The sequence below is a fragment of the Homo sapiens genome, chromosome 17 (genome assembly GCF_000001405.40).
Source record: "Homo sapiens chromosome 17, GRCh38.p14 Primary Assembly".
Classification (NCBI taxonomy): Eukaryota; Metazoa; Chordata; class Mammalia; order Primates; family Hominidae; genus Homo; species Homo sapiens.
Window position 1 is genome coordinate 77,704,553 of NC_000017.11, and position 25,971 is coordinate 77,730,523.

Here is a 25,971-nt window from a genome sequence, read left to right on the forward strand (position 1 = left end):
AGCCCCATGTCCAGACTGGCCATGTGGAGACCCACAGCACTGGGGATATATCTCTGGTTTCAGGTCCAGGAACCCGGTTCTGCAGCCCAACCTCAATGTCATGGGCTGCCTTGACAAATGCTGTGCCTGCTGACCTGGCCTGGGGCTCCCAACAGCTGCAGGGGGGCCTTCCACTGCCTCCCTGTCCTCTGTGCCATTTCCCCACCTGGCCCCAAACTGCTTGAAACCATCACTCGACTACCAGCCTCTTCCCACTACTGTCAGGGACATATTTGCTGCTGTCAGTGGCTGCATTGCACAGAAGCGAAGAGAAAAATGGTTTCAGACTCTGAAGCCACTACTGGAGGCGGAGGTGTTCGGATTAACTCTGCAGTCCTTTGGAACAGCTGTTTCCTGGCTGTTCCACTCTAACATGTGAATGCTCTCAAGGCTATTCACAATATTACTTCCACCTTCCTAGAGAAAGATGCTGCAGAAATAAGCCAGGCAAATTGTCTCTGTGCGATGACATACACAGTAGGTGCTTAAGAAATGTTGGCTGGATTGATCTGAAAATAAGCATGCACAAACAGCAGCCATGCGCTATTCCCTTCCATCTGCTGGAAGGCTGGCATTGAAACCTTCCTCCTCCTGGTAGTCTTTTGCCAGAGAACCAGGCATGCTTGCCCAGAGAGCTGCCTCTTGAGGGTAGGGCCCTGGAGGCTCCTGCTACAAAGCAATCTCAGAAGGCTTATCACAGAGTGTCAGGTGAAAAGGGCAAGATACAGCTGCACTTGCAGCATCATCTCAGCCGTGTGAAAAATATGTGCATAGAAAATGCCTGGAAGGGATGCAAAGAAGAAAGAGTTTATATAAGTAGATCCACAAATGCAGGTGGATGCATTTTTTTTTTCTGGAAAGAATCACAGAAACTGTTAAGTTAATTTGGGGGAAAGAGCTAGGTTGATGGGAAGGTGACTTTCACAGTGGCCCCCTTTTGTGGTCTGTTTTCTAACTTTATGTGTGTGTGACTTTTATTCATACTTCAAATGTTAGCAGGGTTATTGGGTAGCACAATTTTGGTCCTTTTGTTTGCTTTCTTTATCTGTACCTCTCCAGAGTAAAAAGCATTTTTAGTAATCAATTAATTTTTATTCATGTCGTCAAACAAATGAAATAGAAAATTCAACATGCAAAAAAAAAAAAAAAAGACTGAAAACAATATGGCAGGATTTTAATAATGGTAATCTCCAGTTAGGTAGATTATTGGATTAAGATTTTTTTTAATTTTATTATTATTATACTTTAAGTTTTAGGGTACATGTGCACAACGTGCAGGTTTGTTACATATGTATACATGTGCCATGTTGGTGTGCTGTACCCATTAACTCGTCATTTAGCATTAGGTATATCTCCTAATGCTATCCCTCCCCCCGCCCCCCACCCCACAACAGTCCCCAGAGTGTGATGTTCCCCTTCCTGTGTCCATGTGTTCTCATTGTTCAATTCCCACCTATGAGTGAGAACATGCGGTATTTGGGTTTTTGTCCTTGTGGTAGTTTCAGCAAACTGTCGCAAGATTTTATTTCTTCATGTTTGATCTCTCTTGCAGCCCAGACAAGTAATTGTAAAGGGAAAATAAAATACCCAGACAACAGCAGGGAAAACCATGAATTGGTGACTTTATTTGAGGAGAGGGCACCCAACTGTCCCCTCCCCAACCCATCATGCTTGCTCTGTCCTTAGTTGCAAATTCCCTTTGGGATCTGGATTCCTAATTCATGAACCCTCCCTTTTGCATGGATCAGGGCTAATGTGCTGTGTCAGTAATAGTTTTTGTTGCCTGAGAAAACACAAATTCAAAGAAAAATCTTAATAGTGAATTGTGGCCCCTGGGGGAAGACACTGAACAGACAATCAGGACCAATATGGTTAAGACCACTGCTTTGGGTTGGCTGTGTCCCCACCCAAATCTCATCTTGAATTATAGTTGCCATAATCCCTATGTGTCGTGGAGGAACCAGGTGGAGATAATTGACTCATGGGGGCAGTTTCCCTCTTCCTGTTCTCATGATAGTGAGTTCTTGCAAGATGTGATGGTTATATATGGGGTTTCCCCCTTCACTCAGCCCTTGTTCTTCTTCTCTTCCACCATGATTGTAAGTTTCCTGAGGCCTCTCCCGCCATGCTGAACTGTGAGTCAATTAAACTTCTTTCCTTCATAAATTACCCAGTCTCAGGTATGTCCTTAGATCAGCAAGAGAATGGGCCACTACAACCACAGACTCTGCAAGCAAACTCCCTGGAGTCCCCGTCCATTGGTTTACTAGCTGTGTGACTTTGGGCAAATGACTTAACTCCTCTGTGCTTCATGTCCTCATCTGTAAAATGGGTATAGTCAGTGTTCCTAACAGATAGGGTCATTTGTGAGGCTTCTAAGAAGGACAATGGGTGGTACATATGAAGTGCCTACCAAAGGATGGCTGTGATTCTTCTTGCAGGGTGGACGCCTTTCCCGGCAGTTCGTCTCAGCACCACAGCCTGGGTGCCTGCATCGCCTGCACCATGCATACAGAAGCTAACACCAGGCTGTATCAATTCCGGGGCCCAAGAGAGAAACAGGATGTCCCATGTGACTTCTGCTACTTTGGAGTGGGGTCTTCCAGGAATCTTTGTGATATGGCTTGGTTATGTCCCCACCCAAATCTCATCTTGAATTGTAATTCTCACAATTCCCACGTGTCATGGGAGGATCCCAGTGGGAGGTGATTGAATTAAGGAGAGGGGGAGTCTTTCCTGCACTGTTCTCGTGATAGTGAATGAGTCTTGCAAGAACCGATGGTTTTACAAATGGGAGTTTCCCTGCACACGCTCTTTTTGCCTGCTGCCATCCACATAAGATGTGACTTGCTCCTCCTTGCCTTCCATCACGATTGTGAGGCCTCCCTAGCCATGTGGAACTGTAGGTCCAATAAACCTTTTTCTTTTGTAAATTGCCCAGTCTCGGGTGTGTCTTTTTCAGCAGTGTGAAAACGGACTAATACACTTTGGGTAATAGGAAGAGCTGAGGGATGTTAAGTACATTTCCTCCAGCCCAGAGGTGAGGGGCAGGTGGAGTCGGGGAGAGGCAACTGCCACAGGCTGGACATCTGTATCCAGGCTGGCCCAAGTGGGCTCTGACAAGGCTAAGGATGGCAAGTGGGCAAGCACAGAGGAGGGGCCGGGAAACTGGCCCTCACCCGGCCCTGATGGGAGGGGAGGAAGAGGGTGGTTGGCTCTGGAGTGAGGGGGCCCTTGTGTTAGCTCTGACAGGAACTCTCTGCAGGCTTTGCAGAATGGCAAATTTTGAGTTGGGAGAATTCAAAATAATAGGAACTTTCAAAACCCATTCCTGCTTAGCCCTTTCCTGGTGCAGCAAAGATCCTGTGGATCAGGGAGCACTGCGGATGTTCATTTAACATCATAGAGACAGAAGGAAGCCTAACCGTGAGCTTCCAGGATGGTGTCTGTGGCCCCAGCGTAAGTGGAGGATGCCGGGAGCAAGTGCAACACACAGGTTTCTGACCTGAGACGCCCAGGGGTGTGCAGAGGTGGTGGTGGGCATATCAGTTATAAATAGGCACTGGTATAAGTTTCCCTTTCCTGTCACAATCACATACCACAGTCAGAGTGGCTCAGAAAACAAATGAATTTGCTCACAGCTCTGGAGGCTGAAGTCCAAGATCTAGGCATCAGCAGGGTTGGTTTCTTCCGAGGCCCCTTTCCTTGGCTTGTAGACATCTGATTTCTCCATGTCTTCACATTATCTTCCCTCTGTGTGTGTCTGCCCAGATCTCCTCTCCTTATAAGGACATCTGTCATCTTGGATTAAGGGCCACCCTAATGACCTTGTTTTAACTTAATTACCTCTCTAAAGACCCTGCTTTCAAATGCAGCCACACTCCGGAGGTACTGAGGGTTAGGGTTTCAACATATGAATTTTAGGAAGAACACAATTTAGTCCACAACAGCATGTATATAATATTAAGGGTTTTTTGTTTGTTTCTTTCTTGTTTTTCAGACAGAGTCTTGTTCTATCACTCAGGCTGGAGTGCAGTGGTGCAATCTCAGCTCACTGCAACCTCCACCTCCCAGGTTCACGTGATTCTCCTGCCTCAGCCTCCTGAGTAGCTGGGATTACAGGCACCCGCCACCATGCCCGGCTAATTTTTGTATTTTTAGTAGAGATGGGGTTTCACCATGTTGGCCAGGCTGGTCTCGAACTCCTGACCTCAGGTGATCTGCCCGCCTCCGCCTCTCCAAGTGCTGGGATTACAGGTGTGAGCCACTGTGCCCAGCTGGTATTTTTTTTAAACCAAAAATTACCTTTGATATGTCTGCACACATAGAATAAGCTGTCTGTTTGCTTTGCTTTGTCCGGGTGCAGTTGTCCTCTGATGACTCAAGTGCCAGTGACATCCACTCTGTCCTGGGACTTGCTACCATCCAAGTTCTGTCCCGGGTGTGTGGATGAGTCCCCAGCATGATCCATGCCTTCAAGGAGCTCAGGGGGATGAGGGGCAGGGGACACAGGAGTGTGGACAGCAGCCGCCGTGATCCCACACTGCTTCCCATCCAGAGAGGAAGAAGTGATGAACTGGTGTTGGGAAAATGGAGCTGAAGCTGATGACCGGGGAGCAGGTGGAGTTTGGAAAAGTGGCCTAGGGTTCCTCCAGCTTCAGAGGCAGAAGAGCTTTCCTGGAAGAGGAGCCACTCTCGGCCAAGGCAGGAAAATGTGAAGAAAACGCAGCACGTTGGTTGGATCTCATTTTGTCTGACGAATGTCAGGGCCCTGTGGGAGATGAGGAGGGAGGGGACACAGAGCACCCGAGGGAAGGGTCCTGCCATCCAGGCTGCAATTAGTTTACCCTGCGCAGGTGCGGAGCTGGTGAAGGATGTCAGTCGGGAGCAACACAATCAGACTCCATTTTCTTAGGATAACTCTGATATAAAAATGCATAACTAATTGCTAATAAATAATTTATCAACATTATTCAAAGCTTGGAGTCTGGGTGGGGGCTGGGTATAAGTCATAGGCTCATTGACTGTGAAGCGAGGAGACCCTCCCCAGCAGGGGTTTCTGTCTGCTGAGCCATCTCATCACCACGTGCTCTGAAATGGATGTCTCCTTCTCTGAACTTCAGCGTCCTTAACTGAGGAAAGGGCCTGAAAGTTGATCAATACCATCCATGCCAGCCCTAAAACTGTTAGCTTAGCATAAGAAACGGTACACACATCAAGGGATTCCAAGGAGCAGCAGGAGAGAGGAGAGCTCAGAGAAGCAACACTGTATTTACTTTTAAATACAGGTTTCAGCCAGGTGCAGCGGCTCATGCCTGTGATACCAGCACTTTGGGAGGCCAAGTTGGAAGCATCACTTGAGCTCAGGAATTTGAGACCAGTCTGGGCAATGTGGTGAGAACTCCATCCCTACAAAAAAATACAAAAATTAGCCATTCAGTCCTGGTGGCATGATCCTGTAGTCCCAGCTACTCAGGAGGCTGAGACGGGAGGATCCCTTTAGCCCAGGAGTTCCAGGTTGCAGTGAGCTATGATTGCGCCACTGCACTCAGCCTGAGCAACAGAGTAAGACTCTGTTTCAATGAATCAATCAATCATCAACAGGTTTCCATGTTAATCCTCACCACAGTCCTGATCATAAGATGTTATGATCTCATTTTACAGATGGGGCAACAGAGAGTGAGGTTAGGGGACTTGCCCAGGGTTACACAGTTAGCAAGCTGCAGAAGTGGGATTCGAACCTGGGTCCTCCCATCAACCCATGCTCTATCCCTACTGAGTTAACAAGCCACATCTCTGGCTAGTCCCTGACCAGTCCTAGCCCTCTCCCATCTCTGCCCCCTCTTTGCATCCAGCTGTCCCTTGAGCACTGAGTCCCAGTCACGCTAAAATAACTGACACCTTTTCCTCTCTCTCAGGTACAGTTGAGTCTGGGTTGTTATTGCTATGGATTCTCAGGGACACAGGGGTTAACTCCACTGGAAATCATATGAGTAAGGTGGCAACAGAGTAAAGCTCACAGTGATGAACAGATAATGACCTGATGAAAAATCGCCTCATTGCAGATCATTAGCTATCTTCCCTCAATAATGCGGTTGAGCCGAAGGCCACAGTAGGTTTTCCTCTGTTGTTTGTTTATTGGAATCTGTCTCCAAAAAGTATAAAAGTGTGGTGGGCTCCTCACACTGGCTGGAGAGTGCCCAGCTGCTCAAGGTGAATATTTGTGTTGGGGGGAATATCATCCTGGTATTGAAAAACAGGACAGAGCTCTCCAGAAGGATCTGGACACTGATTTTTAGTTACTAGCTAAGTGTTTGGGAAATCCACTTGTCGTAGGTGGGGTATTCTGAGAAGCAGATTCTGAGACAGAGCTCTGTGTGCAGAGAGGATTCGCGTCTATGGGGGCAAAGGATCAGCATCAGGCAGAGAGAGAAACTGAACTCTGCTGAGGTCGCAACAAAGACCTCAGTGGATCCCACGGAAGCGCTGGAGCCAGGATCACTTTTGTAGGGGCCTGACTGGTGAATTAAGGGGCAGAGGCATATGGACTGCATGTGTCCCTCCAAAATTTATATATTGAAGCCCTAACCCTCAGTGCGATTGTACTTGGAGATAGGGCCTTTACAGAATGAATTAAGGTGAAATGAGGCTGTAAATGTGGAGCTCTGATCCTATTGCACTGTGGCCTTACAAGAGGAGGAGACACCAGAGCTTGCTCGTGTGCTTTTGCTCTGCCCTCGACACCCTGTCTCCCTGAGCATCCACAGATAAAAAGCCACGTGAGGACACAGTGAAAAGACGGCTGTCCGAAGCCAGGACGACAGCCCTCACAGGGTACCAACTCTGCCAATACCTTGATCTTGGACTTCTAGCCCCTAGAACTCTAGGAACATAAATTTCCTGTTGCTTAAGCCCCCTATTCTGTGGTTGGTTCTTTGTTATGGACATTCTTTGTTAATATAGGGGACATATGACCACCTCTGCTCCCATTTCCTCAGGATGGAATATTGGTTTTGATTTTTCTTCTTTTTTAGTTAACTTTGTTGAAACAGAATTTGCATACAATAAATTTCGCCCATTTTAGTGTGCATTTGATGAGTTTTGACAAATGTAAGCAGTAGTGTAATCACCATCATAATCATACTATAGAACATTCCCATTACCTTGAAAAGTTTTCTCCTGCCCTTATATACTCAATTCTCTCTCCCTCATCCCCCGACCTCTGCCATCTGGGCTCCCGCCGATCTGCTTTCTCTCACTATAGTTTTGCCTTTTCCGGAATTTTATATAAATGGAATCATGTAATATGGAGTCTTCTGTATCTATCTTTTTTTACCTCCCACAATGCTTTGGAGATTCAACCATGTCATTGCCTGTGTCAGTAGGTCATTCCTTTTAATTGATGAGTAGCACAGCATTATATGGATATGCCAAATATTTATTCATTGATGGACATTTGGGTTTGCTCTGATTTGAATGTGTCCCCAAATTTCATGTGTTGGAAACTTAATCCCCAAATTGATATGCTGATGGCTTTTGGAGGTGGGGCCTTTGGGAGGTCATCAGGATTAGGTAAGGTCCTCAGGGTGGAGCCCTCATGATGAGACTGGTGGCTTTATAAAAAAAAAAAAAAGAAAAGAGATGGGAGTTGGCACCCTCTTGCCCTCTCATCACATGATGCCCTGTGCCACATGATGCCACAGCAAGAATGCCCTTACCAGATGCTGGCGCCATATTCTTGGACTTGTCAGGTTCCACAACTGTAAGAAATAAATTTCTTTTGTTTTATAAATTACCTAGTCTCAGGTATTCAATTGTAGCAACAGAAAATGGACTAAGACATGGTTGTTTTCAGTCTGCGGGTTTTATGAATAAAGCTGCCATGAATATGCAACATACAAGTCTTTGTATGGATCTATGTTTCATTTCTCTTGGCTAAATACCTAGGGGTGGGATTGCTGGGTCATATAAGTGTAGTTTAGCTATATTAGAAACTGCCCAACTGTTTCCCAAAATGGCCATGCCTTTTCAGATTTCCACCAACTATGTATAGAGTTCCAGTTGCTCCTTGTCTTCACCAACACTTGGCATTGCCAGCCTTTTTGATGCTAACCATTCTAGCAGGAGTGTAATGATTTCTCATTGTGGTTTTAATTTGCATTTCATTAATTATTGATGACATCATGCATGTCTTCAAGTGCTTATTTGCCATGTATATATATTCTGTGATGAAGCATTCCAAATAGTTCACCCTTTCAAAAAATCCAAATTTTTCACCCATTTAAAAAAATTGAATTGTTTATATAATTGAGTTCTAGATACAAGTCCTTTATCTCTTTATCTAATACATGTATGCAAGCCTTTTCTTTTAATCTAAGCATTGCCTTTTCATTTTCTTAACAGTTTATTTTGAAGAGCAAAAGTTTTTAATTTGATAAAATCCAATTTGACAATCTTTTTTATAGTTTCTGGCTTTTTGTTTACTTGTTTTGTTCTAAGAAACATTTCCCTGACATCTTCCATATTTTCTTCTGAACATCTTAGAGTTTCAGCATGTATATTATTGTCTATAATCCATTTTAAGTTAATTTTGTATATGATGTTTAAAAATTGAGATTTTTATTTTCCCGTGTGAATATTTAATTTTTTCAGCACCATTTGTTGATAAGGCCATCCTTTCTCCTACTGAATTACTGGTACTGTTATTAAAAACCAATTGGCCATATATGTGTGGACTCTGTTACATTGATCTACATGTCTATCTCTATGCCAATATCACACTGTCTTCATTACTGTAGCTTTATAATAAGTCTTAAAACCACATAGTGTAAGCTTTCCAACTTTATTCTCTTCAAAATTATTTCGGCTGTTCTAACTGCTTATCATTTCCATATAAATTTTAGAATCAACCTGTCAGTTTCTATTTTTAAAAAAGCTTGCTGACATTTTGATGTGATTACATTGTATATATAAATCAATTTGGGGAGGATGTGGAGTTTTACAGTATTGCTGCTTTGGATTCATTAACATGGTCTACTTCATTTATTTAGGTACTTTAAAATTTTTCTCAGAAGGTTTTGTAGTTTTCAATATATAGGTATTGTAATATTTTGTTAAATTATACCTAAGTATTTTACTTTTAGAAGTTCTTATAAACAGTATTGTTTCTTAATATAAATATCCAGTTTTCTGTTGCAAATATGTAGAAATACAATTTTTTATATTAACATTGCATCCTGTGACCTTGCTCACTTATTAGTTCCAGTAGCCTTTTTTGTACATTTCTTAGGATTGTCTACATAGACAATCATATCTTTTGTGAAATAAAATTTTCATTTTGTCTTTCTAATTGATATGCCATTTACATCTTTTAATTATCTTATTGCCCAGGCTATGACTTCCAGCAAAATATTAAATAAAAGATAAAAGTGGATATTCTTGCCTTGTTCCTGATCATAGAGAGGAGCATTCAACCTTATGCCATTAAGTATGATGTCAGCTGCAAATTTTTTGTAGATGCCCTTTATCAAGTTGAGGAAATTCTCTTCTATTCCTAGTTAACTGAATTGGTTTTTTTTTTGTAATCATAAATCGTTTTGAATTTTGTCCAGTGTTTTCTTTACTAGATATAGAGATCTTTATATTTACATATTGCTCTTAAGTGAGCTTTGGTAACTTGTTTCACTTAAGGAAGTAGTACATTTCATCCAAGTTGTTAAATTAAGCTTTAAAGGTCTGTAGGATCTGTAGTGATGCCCCTCTTTTATTCTTGATGCTAGTAACCTGTGCTTCTCTCATTTCTTCTCTTAATTAATCTGGCTATAAGTTAATCAATTTCATTGATCTTTTCTAGGAATCAGCTTTTGGTTTTAGTAATTTCTTTGTTATTTGTTTAAGTTTTATTTCATTGATTTTTGCTCTTACCCTTACTATTGCCTTTCTTCTACTTACCTTGGGTCTAATTTGCTCTTTCTGTAGCTTTTTAAGGTGAAATTTTAGGTCATCGATCTTAGGTTTTTCTTCTTTTCTAATATAATTATGTAATGCGTAAATTTATCATTAAGCACTCTTCAGCTGCATCTCACAAATTTTGATATATTGCATTTTCTTTATTTAGCAGTTCAATGCTTTTTCTAATTTTTCTTGTGACATATATGTAATCTAGAAATCTAATTTAAGTTTTGTTTAATTTCAAATTTTGGGGATTTCCAGATGTCTTTTTGTTATTGATTTTTTAAAATTTAATTTTGTTATCAGAAAGCATACTTCATATTACTTCAGTTCTATTAAATTTGTTAAGGTTTGTATTATGGCCAAGAATATGATCAATCTTGGTAAATATTACATATGCACTTAAAAGACTATGTATTCTGTTGCTGTTGGTTTTACAAATATCAATAAGGTCAAGTTGGTTGCTAGTGTAGTTTAAATCAATACATAATTATTTTCTATCTACTTGTTCCTTCACATATTGAGAGAAGAGTATTGAAATCTCTGCTATAATTATAGATTTGTATATTTCTTCTCTCTATTCTATTTGTTTTTGCTTTAAATATTTAAGATTACATTGTTTTCTTGATGAATTTACTTCTTTATAATTATGGAATTCTCCCCTTTATTCCTAGTAGTATGTCTTGGTCTGAAGTCTACTTTGACATGCTGATATAGCCACTCTAATTTTCTTTTGATTAGTGTGTGTATGATATTTCTTTTTCCATTCTTTTACTTTTTAACCTTTCTATAGCTTTCTTATTTTGGTAGGCTTCATGTAGATAGTCAATACTTGGATATTACTATTTTATCCAATCTGACAATACTTGCATTTTAACTGTAATGTTAGAATATTAACATGTAATGCAATAATTTATACAGATCTACCATAGTAATATTTGTTTTCTCTTTGTTCCATCTGGGGTTTTTGCCCTTTTTCTTTCTTTTCTTTTCTTTTGAATTTATAGAGCAATTTTTATAATTCTGTTTTATATCCTACTACTATTGTATTATAAGCTTTTGTTCTTATTTTTTTTAGTGGTTTTTTTTTTTTTTTTTTTTTTGGCGGAGTCTTGCTCTGTCTCCCAGGCTGGAGCGCAGTGGTGCATCTCTGCTCACTGCAAGCTCCGCCTCCCGGGTTCATGCCGTTCTCCTGCCTCAGCCTCCCACATAGCTGGGACTACAGGTGCCCGCCACCACACCTGGCTAATTTTTTGTATTTTTTTAGTAGAGACGGCGTTTCACGGTGTTAGTCAGGATGGTCTCAATCTCCTGACCTCGTGATCTGCCCGCCTCGGCCTCTCAAAGTGCTGGGATTACAGGCGTGAGCCACCGCGACCTGCCTTTTAGTGGTTGCTCCATAGTTTACAATGTACATCTTAATTTATCACGATCTACTTCCAAAGAATGTTATAGCATTTCACGTATGGTGTAAAGACCTTAAAACGGTTTATTGTCATCCCCTACCTTCTATTTTTTGTGCTATTGTTGCCATGTATTTTCTTCATATACCTCTCAATGCATAATTATCATTTTTGCTTTTCTAGTCAATTATCTTTTCATGAGATTTTTTTAAATTAAAAGATATCTTTTATACCTTCCCACATATTTACCATTTCTGATGCTCTTTATTTCTTTGTGTAGAGTCAAGTATTAATTTTCTGGCTGAAGAAATTTCTTTAACAGATCTTGTGGTGCATGCCTACCAGCAATAAATTCTCTCATTTTTTTTCTTTGTCTAAAAAGGTCTGTATTTCATCTTTTTTTGAAACTTATTTGATATTTTCTGCTGGCTATATAATTCCAGGTGACTTTTTTTTCTTCCAGCACTTTAAATATGTCAGTCCATTTTCTCCTGGCTCTCATGGTTTCCAATAAGAAGTCTTCTGATATTCTTATTTTCATTCTTGTCTTTGACATTCTGATGTTAGACTACTTGATATTCTCCCACAGGTCACTGAAACTCTTCCTTCCTTTAAGCATTTGTTTTAGTCCATTTGGGCTGCTATAACAGAATATCACAAACTGGCTAATTTACAAAGGACAGATATTTATTTATCCCTGTTCTGGAGGTCTGGAAGTTCAAGATCAAGTCACCGGCATTTGGTGTTTGATAAGGGCTGCATTCTCTGGAAGGCAGGAATGTTGCATCATCATATGGCAGAAAACCAGAAAAGAAAGCTAATTGAACACCACATGAAGCCTCTTTTATAAGCACCTTAATCCCATTCACAAGGAAGAAGCCTAATTACCTCTTAAATGCCCCTTGTCTTGCTCACATTAGCAACACCTGAATTTTGGAGGAGGTGCAGTCAAGCCATAGCAGCATTCTTTTTTTCTTCCTGAGCTTCTCTCTTTTTTTTTTTTTTTTTTTGAGATGGAGTCTTGCTTTGTCTCCCAGGCTGGAGTGCAGTGGTGAAATCTTGGCTCACTGCAACTTCCACCTCCCAGGTTCAAGCGATTCTCCTGTATCAGCCTCCTGAGTAGCTGGGATTACAGGCATGCACCACCACGCCCAGCTAATTTGTGTGTGTGTGTGTGTGTGTGTGTGTGTGTGTGTGTGTTTAGTAGAGATGGGGTTGCACTATGTTGGTCAGACTGGTCTTGAACTCCTGACCTCGTGATCCACCTTGTCTTGGCCTCCCAGCCGAACTTCCTTTTTTGGATAGTTTCTATTGCTGTGTCTTCTGGTGCTCTAATTTTTCTTCTTCATGTGCAATCTGTTTTCAATCACACCCAATTTATTGTGTTGCAGTGTGTTTTCCATTTCTAGCAGTTTTATTTGGGTCTTTTTAATAGCTCTCATTTTTCTCCTGTGTGTGTTTTGCTCTCCATGATTTTGCTTTCCACAGTTTCAGTTACCTGTGGTTAACTGCAGTCTGAAAATAGGTGAATTTAGCACAATAAGATATTTTGAGAGACAGAGAGAAAAAGACCATGATCACATAACTTTTATTATAGCTTATTGTTATATGTTCTATTTTACTATTATTTATTATTGTTAATCTGTTACTGAGCCTAATTTATACATTAAACAGTATTATAGGCATGTATGTATAAGAAAAACCAGGTATATATAAGGTTCAGGACTATTTGCAGTTTCAGGCATCTACTGGGGACTTTGGAACATATGCTCCATGGATAAGAGAACCACTGTATATAGTGTGTGGTGTGTGTGTGTGTGTGTGTGTGTGTGTGTGTGTGTGTGTGTGTGTGGAGAGAGAGGTCCTTGTCTATTAATTCCATCATTCTAAAATTTTTAGATATATTTCTATTTATTGATTTTTTTTTCCTGGTCGTGCCTCTTACTTTCCTATTTCTTAGCATGCCTGGTAATTGTTAAATAAAATGTTAGACATGGTGAATTTTACATTGTTGAACACTAGTTTTCCTTGCATCCCTTTAAATGTTTTCGGATTTTGTTCTAGCATGCAGTTAAGTTCATTGTTTGGTCCTTTTGAGGCTCATTTTTAAGCTTTGTTCAGGGGGATCCAGAATGGCTTTTAGACTAACACTAAATTAGCCCCGATACAAAGGCAACATTCTTCTGTGGACTCCACTTAATCCCCGGCATTATGAAGTTTCTTCACTTTACCTACTGGGAACATGAGCAAAGTCCCAGCCTTTTGTGAGGCCCATGAAATGTTTGGGTACTTCTTCCTCTTTGTTCTTTCCGCAGCTTTGTGGATTTTTACGACATGCACGTGTGGGTGCACACACAAACACACACACACACACTCTCTCTCACAGGTCAGTACTCTGCCACTGAGTTGTGGGGACCACTCTGCAGATTTCTGAATCAATCTCTGTCTCTCTGAGTTTGTGTGTGTGTGCACGCATGCATGTGTCTGTGTGTGTTTGTGTGTGCATGTGTGTGTGTCTGTGTGCACACATGCATGTGTTTGTGTGTTCACGCATGTGTGTGTCTGTGTGTGTGCACATGGATGTGTGTGTCTCTGTATGTGTGTGTGCACATGTGTGTGTGCACAGTGTGTCAGTGTGTGTGTGTGCACGCATGTGTGTGTCTGTGTGTGCACATGCATGTGTGTATGTGTGTGTGCACACATGCGTGTGTGGCCGTGTGTGTTTGTGTGTGTTTGCATGCATGTGTGTGTCTCTGTGTGTTTGTGGGTGCACGTGTGTGTGTCTGTGTGTATGCACGCATGCGTGTGTGTCTGTGTGTGCACGCATGTGTGTCTGTGTGTGCACGCATGCATGTGTGTCTGTGTTTGTGTGTGTGCATGTGTGTATGCCTGCATGCGTGTGTGTATGTGTGTGTATGCATGTGTGTGGTTGTGTGTGCACACACGCATGCATGTGTGTGTGTGCGTGCACACATGTGTTTGTGTGTGGTGCGCGCAAGCATGTGTGTGTCTGTGTGTGTGTGCGCACGCATATGCGTGTGTCTGTGTGTGTGCATGCGCATGCGTGTGTGTGTCTGTGTGTGAGTTTGTGTGTGCGTGCACACATGCCGCTGCATCTCTTCTGGACCTGCCCTGAAAATTCCTGCTGCCTCAGTCTCCCTGAACAGGAATCCCTTTTTCTTCCATTTAGTGGACTATTGAGCTCTGTTGGGTTCTCCTCCCTACCCAGGGGCCTGGAATCTGCCTCCAGGAAATAAGCTGGGAGAATCTTGAGGCTCACCCTATGTTTTTCTTTTCCCTTAGAGATCAGGGTCCTGTGATACCTGTGACTCAATGTCTGGAAGCAATTATTTTATGTATATTTTTTTTTATTGCTATGGCGGGAGGGTCATTCTCCTAGCAGTTAATTCTTCATGGGAAAACTACTGGATTCACCCTCTATCTTGGTCAGAGGTGGGGAGGGGTCTAGTTCAGAGGCTTCTACTTGGTCCATGCCTCTACAACAGCTCTTTCCCTACATGCCTAGAAACAACATGGCACTTCTGCCCACTACCAAGTATGTCCAACCGTACATCCAGGGACCAGAGAGATGACCTCCGGTGGATCCATGGAACCTAGAACCTAACTTGAGCTGGATCTGACCAGGACTCCCTTGATGATATGACCCCCTCTTTTAGTCAGTTTGGGATGCCCTAACACAGGGGTGTCTCATTTTGTGGTTTCCCTGGGTTACACTGGAAGAAATGTCTTGGGCCACACAAAATACACTAACACTACTGATAGCTGATGAGCTAAAAAAAAAAAAAAAAGAAATCACCAAAAAATCTCATAATGCTTTAAGAAAGCTTAGGAATTTGTGTTGGGCTGCATTCAAAGCCATCCTGGGCTGCATGCGGCCCATGGGCCACAGGTTGGACAAACTTGCTCTAACAAATATATCATAGGCATAGGCTGGTGGCTTAGACACAAGCATTTGCTTATCACAGTTCCAGAGGCTGGAAGTCCAAGATCAGGGTGCCAGCAGATCTGGTGTCTGATGAGGGCCTCTTTCTTGTTTGCAGGTGGTCAGTCATCTTGTTTTGTCCTCACGTGGCAGAAAGAGAGAGGAAGCAACCTCTCTCATGCCTCTTCTTATAAGGGCACTAATCCAAGCAAGACAGCTCCACTTCCATGATCTAATGACCTCCCAGAGGCCCTCCTTCGATACCATCACACTGGGGACTAGGCTTTGACATTTGGATTTTCGGGGACACAAATGTTCAGTCCATAGCCCTATGCCATTGCTCTAACAGAAGCTATGATAATGTATTGTCGTTATTATGATTATTAGTTAATTGAATGGGCATTTTTGTGCCAGGCATCGAGTTTTACCTGAAGATTCTCTCTTTCATTCCTCAAGATGCTCTCGAATAGGTACCGTCATATTCTATATCTTGTAGGTACAGAAGTTGAGACTTATAAGAATGAAGTTAACCTGCCCAAGGTCAAGGATCTGAACTCAGGCTTTCTGATTCTAACTTGACCATTCACTTCCCAGCATGACAGCAACTCACAGTTGTAGAGGGCAGAATAGTGCAGAGAGTGCTGGGAAATGCTGCAGAGGGGAATGGGATGTGGATCAAAGGGCAATGGGGGTGCCCTGTCCAGTTCAGTGCCTTTAGGCCACTGCAAAGGTAGTGGCTTACTCCACAAAGAATTGGGCCTCAGGCACCTGCTCAGGACAGACCTGTGAAGATCTTCCAAGATTTTCAATGGCATTTAAAATATTAAAACTAATACATCGGCTTCTGTTTCAAGGAACCTCAGTTTGATGACCCCCAGACTAATAAACCTACTCATCCTGGAAACTGGCATAAGATCCAGTGAGACTGTGTCCTGGAAAGTAGCACATGAGCCCTGTGCCAGGTGCTGGGGTGCAATGGACGCAAAGGTCATGTGCACCCACTGTGTCCAGGTCTCAATGTAGAATCTAGATCCACACCTGGAGGTACAGGCTTAACTGATCTGGGCATTGACCCAGGTTGGCTAAAAACAGCAAAACCAGAGAGAAAGACTAAAACCTGGATAGAAAATAGATTTAATTTCTCATGCCAGTTCTGAATGATTGCCCGAGGCTTCCTGGAATCTTTTATTGAGAAAGACTGGGAGGGTGTGGAAGGGTCCAGTAAACCAGAGTGCGATGATGGATTAGTAATGTCTGCTATGGTCAGGGAGGTGGAGAGTGGCTGCCTGAAGCTCATGATTTGCTGATTTGCTGACCCTGGTCTAAGCTACTGTGCAGGAGAGGGGCAGACAGTCCTAGCCAGAGCAGTGGTGCAGACTCTCAAAGCTGAGTTATAAGGAGAACCAGGAAACGGGGCCCGACACAAGAGGGTTTAGAACGTGTTGGAAGGAGGATCAGCCAGATGAAGGCAAGTGGACTGGGACAGTCCCCGAATGGCAGGTCTTTGCAGGTCTTTCGTGAACCGCTATTTTGAATGCCAACTTGTCCCCAGTTCCTTTGCTCCACGAGTCTCCCTAGATCTGCCGTCTCCTAACACACTGTACATAACATTTACTATGTTTTTCATTTCTTCTGTCTCCCTGCTGCTGGCACATAAACTCTGAGGATCTCTGTTTTGTTCACTGACATACACCAAGCACCTCTAGCAGTGTCTGGCACTTAGTAGGTATGCAAGATTCTGAGATGTTGGGGGAACCTCCCCCTCTCAGCCAAAGCTCCTAAGCCTTGGCTCCCGCCCGGGTCTGGCTGCTGCTCAGAAACTGTGATTGGCAGATACATATGTCTTTGATTAATACGAATGGGGAAACACATTCACACTTACTTAATACATTCAGTTTTGTTGGCAATATATTTCAAAATATGGAGCCCTTCGGGGGAGGCAGTGGGGGTGAGGATGATAATGAAGGAGTCCTTCCCTGGGAGTCCTGGCTCAGGAGGAGGGGAAGGGCCAGCCCCAAGCTGGAGGCACTGGCTAACTGTTCTCCAAGGGGGGCCCTCCCTCCTCACATCCTGGTCTGTAACACCGGGATGCCAGCATCAGCCCTGTGTACCTCACAGAGGTGTAAGGTTTCAAGGAGATAATCTGTGCTAAAAGATGCTTCGTGACATGGTACACCTTTGCACTCCTTTTGTTACTGTTGTTATGATGATGATGTTTCCTTAAGTGGATGGGCGTTTCTGTGCCAGGCATTGTGTGGGGAGTTTTACAGGCATTCTCTCTTTTGTTCCTCAAGGCCCCATGGAATAGGTACCGTTATATTCTATATCTTGTGGGTACAGAAATTGAGACTCATAAGAGTGAAGTTCACCTGCCCAAGGTCGAGGATCTGAACTCAGGCTTTGTGATTCACACTTGACTGAGCAGGACAGAAAGAGATGCCTGGCATCTTCCTGCTTTGCAAACCAGGAAGAGGGTCCTCACCAGACCCCAGATACTGACTGTCCCCAACTGCACATCCAGCCTGTTAGCCACTAGGAAAAGAATGACATCAGGGGAAGGCTGAACTGATGCGCATGGGAAGGCAAACCCTCCCGTCAGTGAATCAGGTCACCCTGGGCAAGGCGGATGACGGTAGTGGAAATACAGTTGGCCCTCGAGCACCATACGGGTTTGCCTGGTGAGAGTCCACATAAATGCAGATTTTTTCCAATAAAGCTTACACCGAGCGTGGCTGCCTTCCCTTCCACCTTCTTTGCCTCTTCTACCTCCACCATCCCTAAGACAGCAAGACCACCCCCTCCTTCTCCTCCTTCTCAGCCTCTTCAAGGTGAAGATAACAGGGATGAAGACCTTTATGGTGATCCCCTTCTGCTAAATGAATGCTAAATATATTTTCTCTTTCTTACCGTTTTCTTAATAACATCTCCTTCTCTTTGGCTCGTTTATGATAAGAATACAGTATATAACACATATGCAAAATATGTGTTCATCAACTATTTATGTTATTGGTAAGGCCTGCATCAATAACAGGCTATTAGTAGTTACATTGTTGTGGGCATCAAAAAAAAAAAGACCTGGGGACTTCAGCATCACCGGCCTGAATTCAAATGCCACGCTGCCACTCAACGGCTCTGTGCCTTCGGCCACGTGGCCACCGGGTTAGTTTTGTCTCCTTCTCTGTTAGGCGAAACTGCAACAGTAGTTGTGAGGATGAAATGATAAATGCAGCCCCTAGCCCAGGACTAGGCTCCCAGCGGGTGTTCCGGAATCCTAGCTTCCATGTCCCCTCGGCAAACTCCCATGGAATTCAGGAAACACTGTTGGCTCTCTAAGGAGCATGTGGCCTGTCACCCTGGGTCCCACCTCTATTGGCCAGCAGCCCCATTTCCTGGGACTCTAGGTGCTGTTGGAATTTTGCAAGCGTAACGACCGACCACCCCTGTCCCCAAAGGGAGTATGGCAGAGGCTGGTTGGGGGGATTTAATTTGGACATAGCTCCGTTCCAGTTTGTCAAACATGGCAGCTGCTGCCTTTGGCACGTGCGGTCCCAGCTGCTGGTCACTTGCCAAGGAAGCAGTGCCCTGGGCAGAAGGCAGCTTTGTGCTCCTGTCTCCAGAGACAGCTGTGCGGTGACTGAACAAGGGGTTTCTTTCTCCCTTTGGGAAGGTACGTAACAGCCCCCCAAGAATTCATGCCCTGTCTTTATCAACAAGAGGCCTTCCTCAGTGACTGGCGTGCCACTGGCTCAGCTCTCCAGCTCTGATGTTGGCCCCGGAGCGGCTGGTCTTGGCGTCACTATCTGGGCTCTGTGAGTCAGTTGGTTTGCAGGCTGCTGAACACCCTTCAGTGCTGGGGAGCCCCTATGCCACCTGGAGGGGGTGCCCAGGATGCCTGGGAAGCCAGTGCATCCCCTGTGTGTGAACAGCCAGGCTGGCAAATCGGAGACTGGGGGGCTTGAGCCACCGCGCCCAGCCAGGGTCATCGCAGCCACATTGTTGCAGATCTGGGATCTGAGCCCCTGCAGTGTGATCCCAGGCCTGTGCTTTAATCACGACACCACCCGCCTCCTTGTCCCACGCAGTTAGGATACCTGTTCCTCGTGAGCCAAACGTTTTCACAGCCACTGTGCCCTCTCCTGCCTCCTTTATTGACCGTGGTTGCAATAAATGGCCATGACAGAGACAAGGCCAGAGCATCCCGGAGGAGGGAAGGGAGCCCTCCCGGCTCAGGCGCTGTCCCACACAGGCCTGACAAACTGGGGTGCCTGGACTCTGGGGTGCCTGATGCAGAGCCCAGCCTGAGTCAGGAGGATGGGATTACAAGGCAGCTACGATGCAGGAGGGATGGTCTCGTCCACACTACAGCCTGTTCTTTCCTTCCAGAGTTCAGGCTCTCACCAACTGGCCTGGCCTAACCACCCTGGGTTCCCAAGGGCTTCCTGGGGCCCTCATCCTAGACAAGGTCGCCGTCACCTCTCACCTGCCTAGCCAGGGCCTGGCCTGCTCATGACCTCTCCTTTGCATCTGCTGCCTGAAGCCAGCTGGCTAAAGTCTTGGATGTCAGCCTGTGACTCCATTCTGCAAATGGCTTTGGTCTGGAGTGCCCGATGCACTTACTTTCTCTGTTTTATTAGCCTAGGGAAGAAAAGGGGTTATCCTGGGACCATGGGTGGGTGCCGTATCGGCCAAGGGTTTCTTCAAGGTGGGATGGAGACAGGAGCATGTTTGTAGGAAGAGGAGGACAGGAGGGTGTGAGAGAGGCAGCAAGGACGTTACCAAGATTCGCGGGGGAGAAGGCCTGATGGGGAGTTTCTAGAAGAGGCAGCTGGTGGTGTGGGAGCCCTGGGGAAACCGCAATGAGAACGAAGGGACCCTGCCCATCGCTGGTACTGAGAGCCATGTGGGGCAGAGGCTGCCCCTGGGGCCTTTCTTAGCTGAGAAAAGAAACCCCTCTGATTCTCACCCCTCCCTTGTCCCTGTGGGGGCATCTCACCCCGATCCTAATGACTTACTGCAGCCTGGCTCGGCAATTCAGGTGCTCGTCAGTTCCCCCTCGGTGCACACAGGTGTGCGTGCCAGCCAGGTGTGGGCGCCTGTCCAGCTTCTCTTTGCACCTGAAAGTCAGCACAAATGCTGTGGTCAAAATGGGAGCTGAGCTGGGGGTGGGGACAGAAAGGGAACTTTGCAAGCTGAGCAGGGCAGGTGGTGGCGGGTTTCAGGGGCCGCCCAGGACAAGTCAAACCCCTCAGTGGTATGTGGTGGCACCAGGGGATCTCTGGGGAGCCACTTGCTGCTGAGGAGACTGTGAAGAGGGAGACACGCCCCCTCCAGAGCCTCCCAGCGTCAGACAAACAGCTCTCCCGAGCTCTGGGGAGGCTCCGACACAGCAGTGGCCAGTGTGTCCTCAGCAGGCCTCAGTTCCCGTGAAACCAGCAGGTGGGACTGAGGGCACCTGGACCCCTTCAGAGTCTGAACCGCCGTGACCCTGTGGCCTGCCGCCGCTCCTGGCTTACCCTCGTGTTTCTAGAACGTCCTCTGTGCCTCCGAAGGCAACACCAGGTGCCGAGAACCACGTGTTGATGGTGTTGCAGGGCCCGCGTGTCCCTGACATGGCCTCGCACCTCAGAAACGCTCGTGCTAAGGTGCAGAAATGGCACAGAAATGGAAAATGAGGAGCCGGGGGTCTGTGAGGCTCTTGATGCAGATACAGAAAGCTCCTCTGGCTGAAGTAGGAGAAGGAGGTTGGAGGGAAGGCTATGGAGAAGGGAGAGGTCCTCCCAAGATGAGGAAGTGTGGGGAGCCGTCCTGCAGCCATGGCCTCATGCTCACTGGCTTGTTCGGCAACTCCCTGAATGACTTTGCCCAATTCCTGTCCATCTTGAGTCACTTCCTCAGGGGTCGGTGTCCCAGGAGATCATCAGATTGGCTGAGCTCAGGACACGTCTGCCCCTCTGGAGGTCCTAGGGCAAGGAACGAAGTGCTGGTCTCTTTGTCTTCTGTGATGGGAAGGGCACCTGGCTTCACACTCCTCTAAGCATCATGCCAATCGGAGGGGAGACACCCCGAGAAGAAAGCAGGGTCTCCTTGCAGGCATGAGGTGCCCCCATGACCATCAAGCCCCATGACCACTTAGTGAGCATCAGTGAAAGGCTTGAGCAGGCAAGGAGATGCCGCCTGAAGACCCCAGTGGAGTGCAGAGCTCTGGGTGGGGAGGGGGTGCTTGTGGAGAATGCCAAGCCCCAAGCAGAATGGATGGGGCAGGCCCCTCCCAGAGCAGCATTCCAGCTATTTCTGCAGACCATGTGTCCTATTTAGACAGTTAGACAGTGGTCCCCACACTAAGTGCTAATCTCCGCCTCACAAAACTTCTCCAAGGGAATCAGCTTAACTGAATGTCCCCAGACACTGTTCCCATGAAGCCAGTCGGAGTATGTTTGTGTGGCTTTCTTTGATCCGTCTGAGTTGGGAAACTTCTAGGGAAAAGGGAAAGGTCCTCTCCAAAAATCTCCATTCCCTCATCAGTCCTTATTTTAGTCAAGAAACCTCAATTTCACATATTTATATTCTTGGGGGCTGTGGTTTTTCCTCTTAAAAATTGAGCTGTTCCACTGCCTCTTTGCATAGCCAGACACACAGGGAGGCGGCCGATGCTCCAAGAGCCCAGAGCAGAGAAGATTTCTCACACCCTCCCATTGTCCTTGTGGGGGCACCTCACCCCCGATCCTAACAACATCCTGCAGCCTGGCTTGGCAATTCCAGCACTGCTCAGCTCTCCCTCCGTGCACAGAGGTGTGTGTGCAGGTGGGGAGCAGGCACCCGCCCAGCTTCACTCTGCACCTCAAAGTCAGCACAAACGTTGCTGTCAAAAGGGGAGCTCAGGCCCTGGGGGGACAAAGAGAAACCTGCAAGCTGAGTGGGGCAGGTTTGGGGGGCTTGGAGGCACAGACTTCTATGGCTCATCCCAAGGGGGCTGAAAACCAAGAGGAGCTTGGCCCTGCACAGGAGCTTTCCTCAAAGCCAGGCCCATCTTCCATGCCCTACACCCCTCAATCCCCAATTGATTGCTAGTGCTTGAGGCTGGGCTGGAGGGGCCCTGGCCCCCTCTTTGCATGTTCCCTGGCTGATTCCCACCCAGAAGCAGGGTCTCTGCATCTCAGTGTCCTCCTCCTTCCTCTAGATCCTAGACTGGAACCTCCTTGGTCATGGGGGAATCGGGGTCTAAGGAGTCTGCGGGGGGAAGTACTGTCCCGCCGCCCCACCCCGTCCCACTCCCCCCGCCCTTCTCCTTGCCCTTTCTGTTGCTATTGCCTGCGTTGGTTTGCATGCCGTTTTGCTTGTGGTCTCCATAGCAACAACTACCAAATGGCCTATGGATAATAGGGGGACTCTCGGGGTGGGAGGGGATCCCGATGAGGCATTTGACTTTAAAAAATGGAAACGGTGATTCTGCCGCAGGCCTGGCACGGATGGTCACCCTTCTCTGCCCATCATCACTCAAGCCCCTCAGTCCCCCTCACCCAAGGGCCTGCCTCCACCTTGGCTGGGGGAGGGCAGGGAGGCCGCAACCTGCAAGAACAATGGAAAGGCCGGAGGGAAGCTGAGGGGCCAGAGAGGGACAGGAGCATGGAGGGCAGCCAGGAGCCTCTGCAACTATCTCCATCTCATGGTAAAAATCTCTAGTCAGAGTCTTCTCTGTTGTCCAGCTTCGTTTCGTGTCTCACCACTTCCTTCCACCCTTCCCAGAATCCCTTTCTCTCTCTCTCTCTCTCTCTCTCTCTCTCTCTCTCACACACACACACACACACACACACACACACACACACACACAGAAGCGTTGCTTCATGTCTTGGGGCCTGGCTTCTAGGTCCAATGTCCTGGGAAATAAGTCTCTAATTGTTTCCATGTGTCCCGCCCTGAGCTGTTTACAACAGGCATTCATAGCCCTGGACCTCGAGCCCTGGTGAGGCCACAGGGTCAGCACAGGGATGGTTCCCATTTGAAGATGACCAAACTGATGTGAAGGGCAGAGGGAGGGACCCAGGCCTCCCCCAGCCCCGAGTGTCTTCCACAGTGAGCTGGAAACCTGTTCTCAAGTCTAAATATTTTACATTTTATCTGGACTAGACTTTCCCCATTTTATTTATTTTCAAAGCATTTTCCCAGATAGTGTCTCTTGTCTATTCCCACGGCTCCGTGAGTTCAGGAGATCGACCCTGGACGGGGCTCCTGCCCACGCCTCGGACTCTGCAATCCTTGGCAGCGACAACCGGAGAGCATGGTGAGAGTGTGGTGGGGAGAATATGCCATAAAAAACAGAAGACAGAAACCAAACACATTGCCTGGGGAGCAGGAACAAACCCCGATCGTTCCCTCAACAGATGAAACATCTGAAGCCCAGAGAGCTTAGGCAGTTTTCCTGAGCATGTCTGGACACACACACACACACACACACACAGAGCTTCCATTAGCAACAGATGTCACAAAAGGACAGGCGCCACCTGACGATAATCTTTCTACTCACCACTGTCCCCTGTAGGAAGGATTCTCCAGGCTTTTCACAGTCAGGCTAGTTGTTAAAATGTTTACATTCATGGGGTGGGAGAAGACCTGGTCAGGTTTCAAGGTGCGGGCAGAGTGGGCCTACCCATCAAGAGTGGTACACAGCGTGCTGAATGAAGCCCAGCTGGGCTTAGGTTAGGGCAGGGGAAGCCCAGACCCAGCCCTCTGCCTGTTTTGTAAATGGCATCATTGGAGCACAGCCATGCCCATTTGTTTGTGTACAGTACACTGCTGCTTGCAAGCTGCAACAGCAGTGTGGCTCACAAAGCCTACAAGATTTACTATCTGTCCCTTTAAGACAAAGTTTGCTGACCCCTTGTTTAAGGGATTAATCCCAAGAATGTTCTCAGGTTCATTTTTTTTCTTTCCCATGCAACAGAGTCATATGGTCATCCAATTCCTATCTGTCAATCACTATTGTAAGGGAACCATTTATTTAAGGACAGTTGATTGAACCCCTGTTATGTGTTAAGCACCCGAACAACCCAAAACACACATAGAAGGAACACGACGTCCCTCAAGGGGCTCACAAAATCCCAAGTGATGGTAGCCAAACACAGGCACAGGGTACAACAAGGACGATGGTGACTGATCCAGCGTAGGCTGGGGCTGCAGTGGTAAAGGTGGAGAAAGGCTGGAGAAGTTAGGGACTGTTTTCTGCTGAAGGAGACAACTTACTAAGTTTTAAAGAGCCACTAGCTCATGTCAGAGAAGGATCTGAAGCCATATGATTTGGAAAGAACATGAGTGCATTCGGTTTTGGGTATGTGGAGTTTGGGGTGCTGGTGACATACCCGGGTGGAGATGATTCAAATGTTTTGTTATGTGTAGGGGTCCAGAATTCAGGAGAGAGAGAATCTGGGCTGGAGATGTAGAGTTAGGGGTATATAGTTGGTGTGGTAGGGATGCTGCCTTCTTGGTGATAAAAGCCTTAACCAAGAGGTAGAAATAATTTTCTCTTCCTGTGAGCAATTCTAACAGCTTGCCTTTACTGCTCTAAAGATATTATGGCACTTTGCATTTCAATTTGTATGTAGTTGGTATCTCTCTCCATTGAACTGTAAACAACAGAGACTTTGGCCATGATGGAGTAAGCATTTATTATTCCACCCTAAATAACTAAAAATAGACCAACTATATACAACAATTTTCAGACATTGGACCGCAGGTGTCACAGAAGTGTAATCTCTGACAGAGGAGAAGCAAATGAGGTGAGACCCACAAGTGCCCCAGCTGACAACCTGGAGAGAGTTTCCACGCCACCATACAGGTAAGTGGAAACCACACAGTGTTCAGTGGCTTCACTGAATTAAGGAGATAGTGTTTAGGGTGTGGGGAGGCCAAGGCAGCTAACATTTGTAGGGCAGAGCCCTGGAGAGGAGAGAGCTGCACACAGAAAGAGAGGACTCTAGAGATCTGCAGACGACTCACTTAAGGCCTTCGGCTGAATATTGATCAGTGCATGCATATGAGAAAATTACTAAGGCTGTGGAAAAGGAAAGTAGCAGATAGAAGAACCCCAGGAGCTCACAAAGGCTGGAGAATATCTTACATGCCCAACAGCCAGTGGAAAGACCTCCTCACCCAGGAAATACCAAGCAGAGTCCTCAGAAAGGCATTGCTTCAGAAGAGGGACTAAATTAGCCCTAGACTAAAGGTTGTTCTAAACGTGTGAAACAAAGCTTAAAAGTAATACTTGAAGAAAAATCAGATTGTTTCCAAGTAACTTAACTATGAACTAGAAAAAGAGTACGAATATATTTAAAGGAATAATTAGAGGAATTAACAATGTCTGGCATCCAATTAAAAATTAGCAGACATGCAAAGAAGCAGGAACTAGGCTCTACAGCCAGAAGAAAAGCAGTTCATAGAAACAAACCAGTAAATGACAAAGATCATAAGTTTAGTACACAAGGGCCTTAAAGCAACTATTATAAAAATAATGTATATGTTCAAGAAAGTAGAGGTAAACATAAACATGATGAGAGAAATAGAAGATAACATATATATTTTAAATCTAAATAAAACTTTTAAAAGTAAAAAGAAAACTGAGATGAAAAATATTGTGGATGGGAT

The 25,971-nt window shown here is 45.6% G+C and overlaps 1 long non-coding RNA gene across 1 annotated transcript, besides 3 other annotated features; it reads right to left on the minus strand.

The window, feature by feature from the left end:
- Window positions 11,889-12,477: an enhancer, noted in NCBI's record as "OCT4-NANOG hESC enhancer chr17:75712523-75713111 (GRCh37/hg19 assembly coordinates)". NCBI's record gives its function as "activates a minimal SCP1, AML or CMV promoter by ChIP-STARR-seq in naive H9 embryonic stem cells {active_cell/tissue: H9 hESC(naive)}" and the evidence as "EXISTENCE:reporter gene assay evidence [ECO:0000049][PMID:30033119]".
- Window positions 14,259-14,759: an enhancer, noted in NCBI's record as "H3K4me1 hESC enhancer chr17:75714893-75715393 (GRCh37/hg19 assembly coordinates)". NCBI's record gives its function as "activates a minimal SCP1, AML or CMV promoter by ChIP-STARR-seq in naive and primed H9 embryonic stem cells {active_cell/tissue: H9 hESC(naive and primed)}" and the evidence as "EXISTENCE:reporter gene assay evidence [ECO:0000049][PMID:30033119]".
- Window positions 18,320-24,007, minus strand: LINC01987 (long intergenic non-protein coding RNA 1987). The gene is made up of 2 exons (NR_104134.1): window positions 23,858-24,007; window positions 18,320-20,450 (listed from the first exon to the last, which is right to left on the minus strand). It is a non-coding gene; the product is annotated as a long intergenic non-protein coding RNA 1987 (long non-coding RNA).
- Window positions 19,950-20,450: an enhancer, noted in NCBI's record as "H3K4me1 hESC enhancer chr17:75720584-75721084 (GRCh37/hg19 assembly coordinates)". NCBI's record gives its function as "activates a minimal SCP1, AML or CMV promoter by ChIP-STARR-seq in naive H9 embryonic stem cells {active_cell/tissue: H9 hESC(naive)}" and the evidence as "EXISTENCE:reporter gene assay evidence [ECO:0000049][PMID:30033119]".
- Window positions 24,008-25,971: the final 1,964 nt, after the last annotated feature.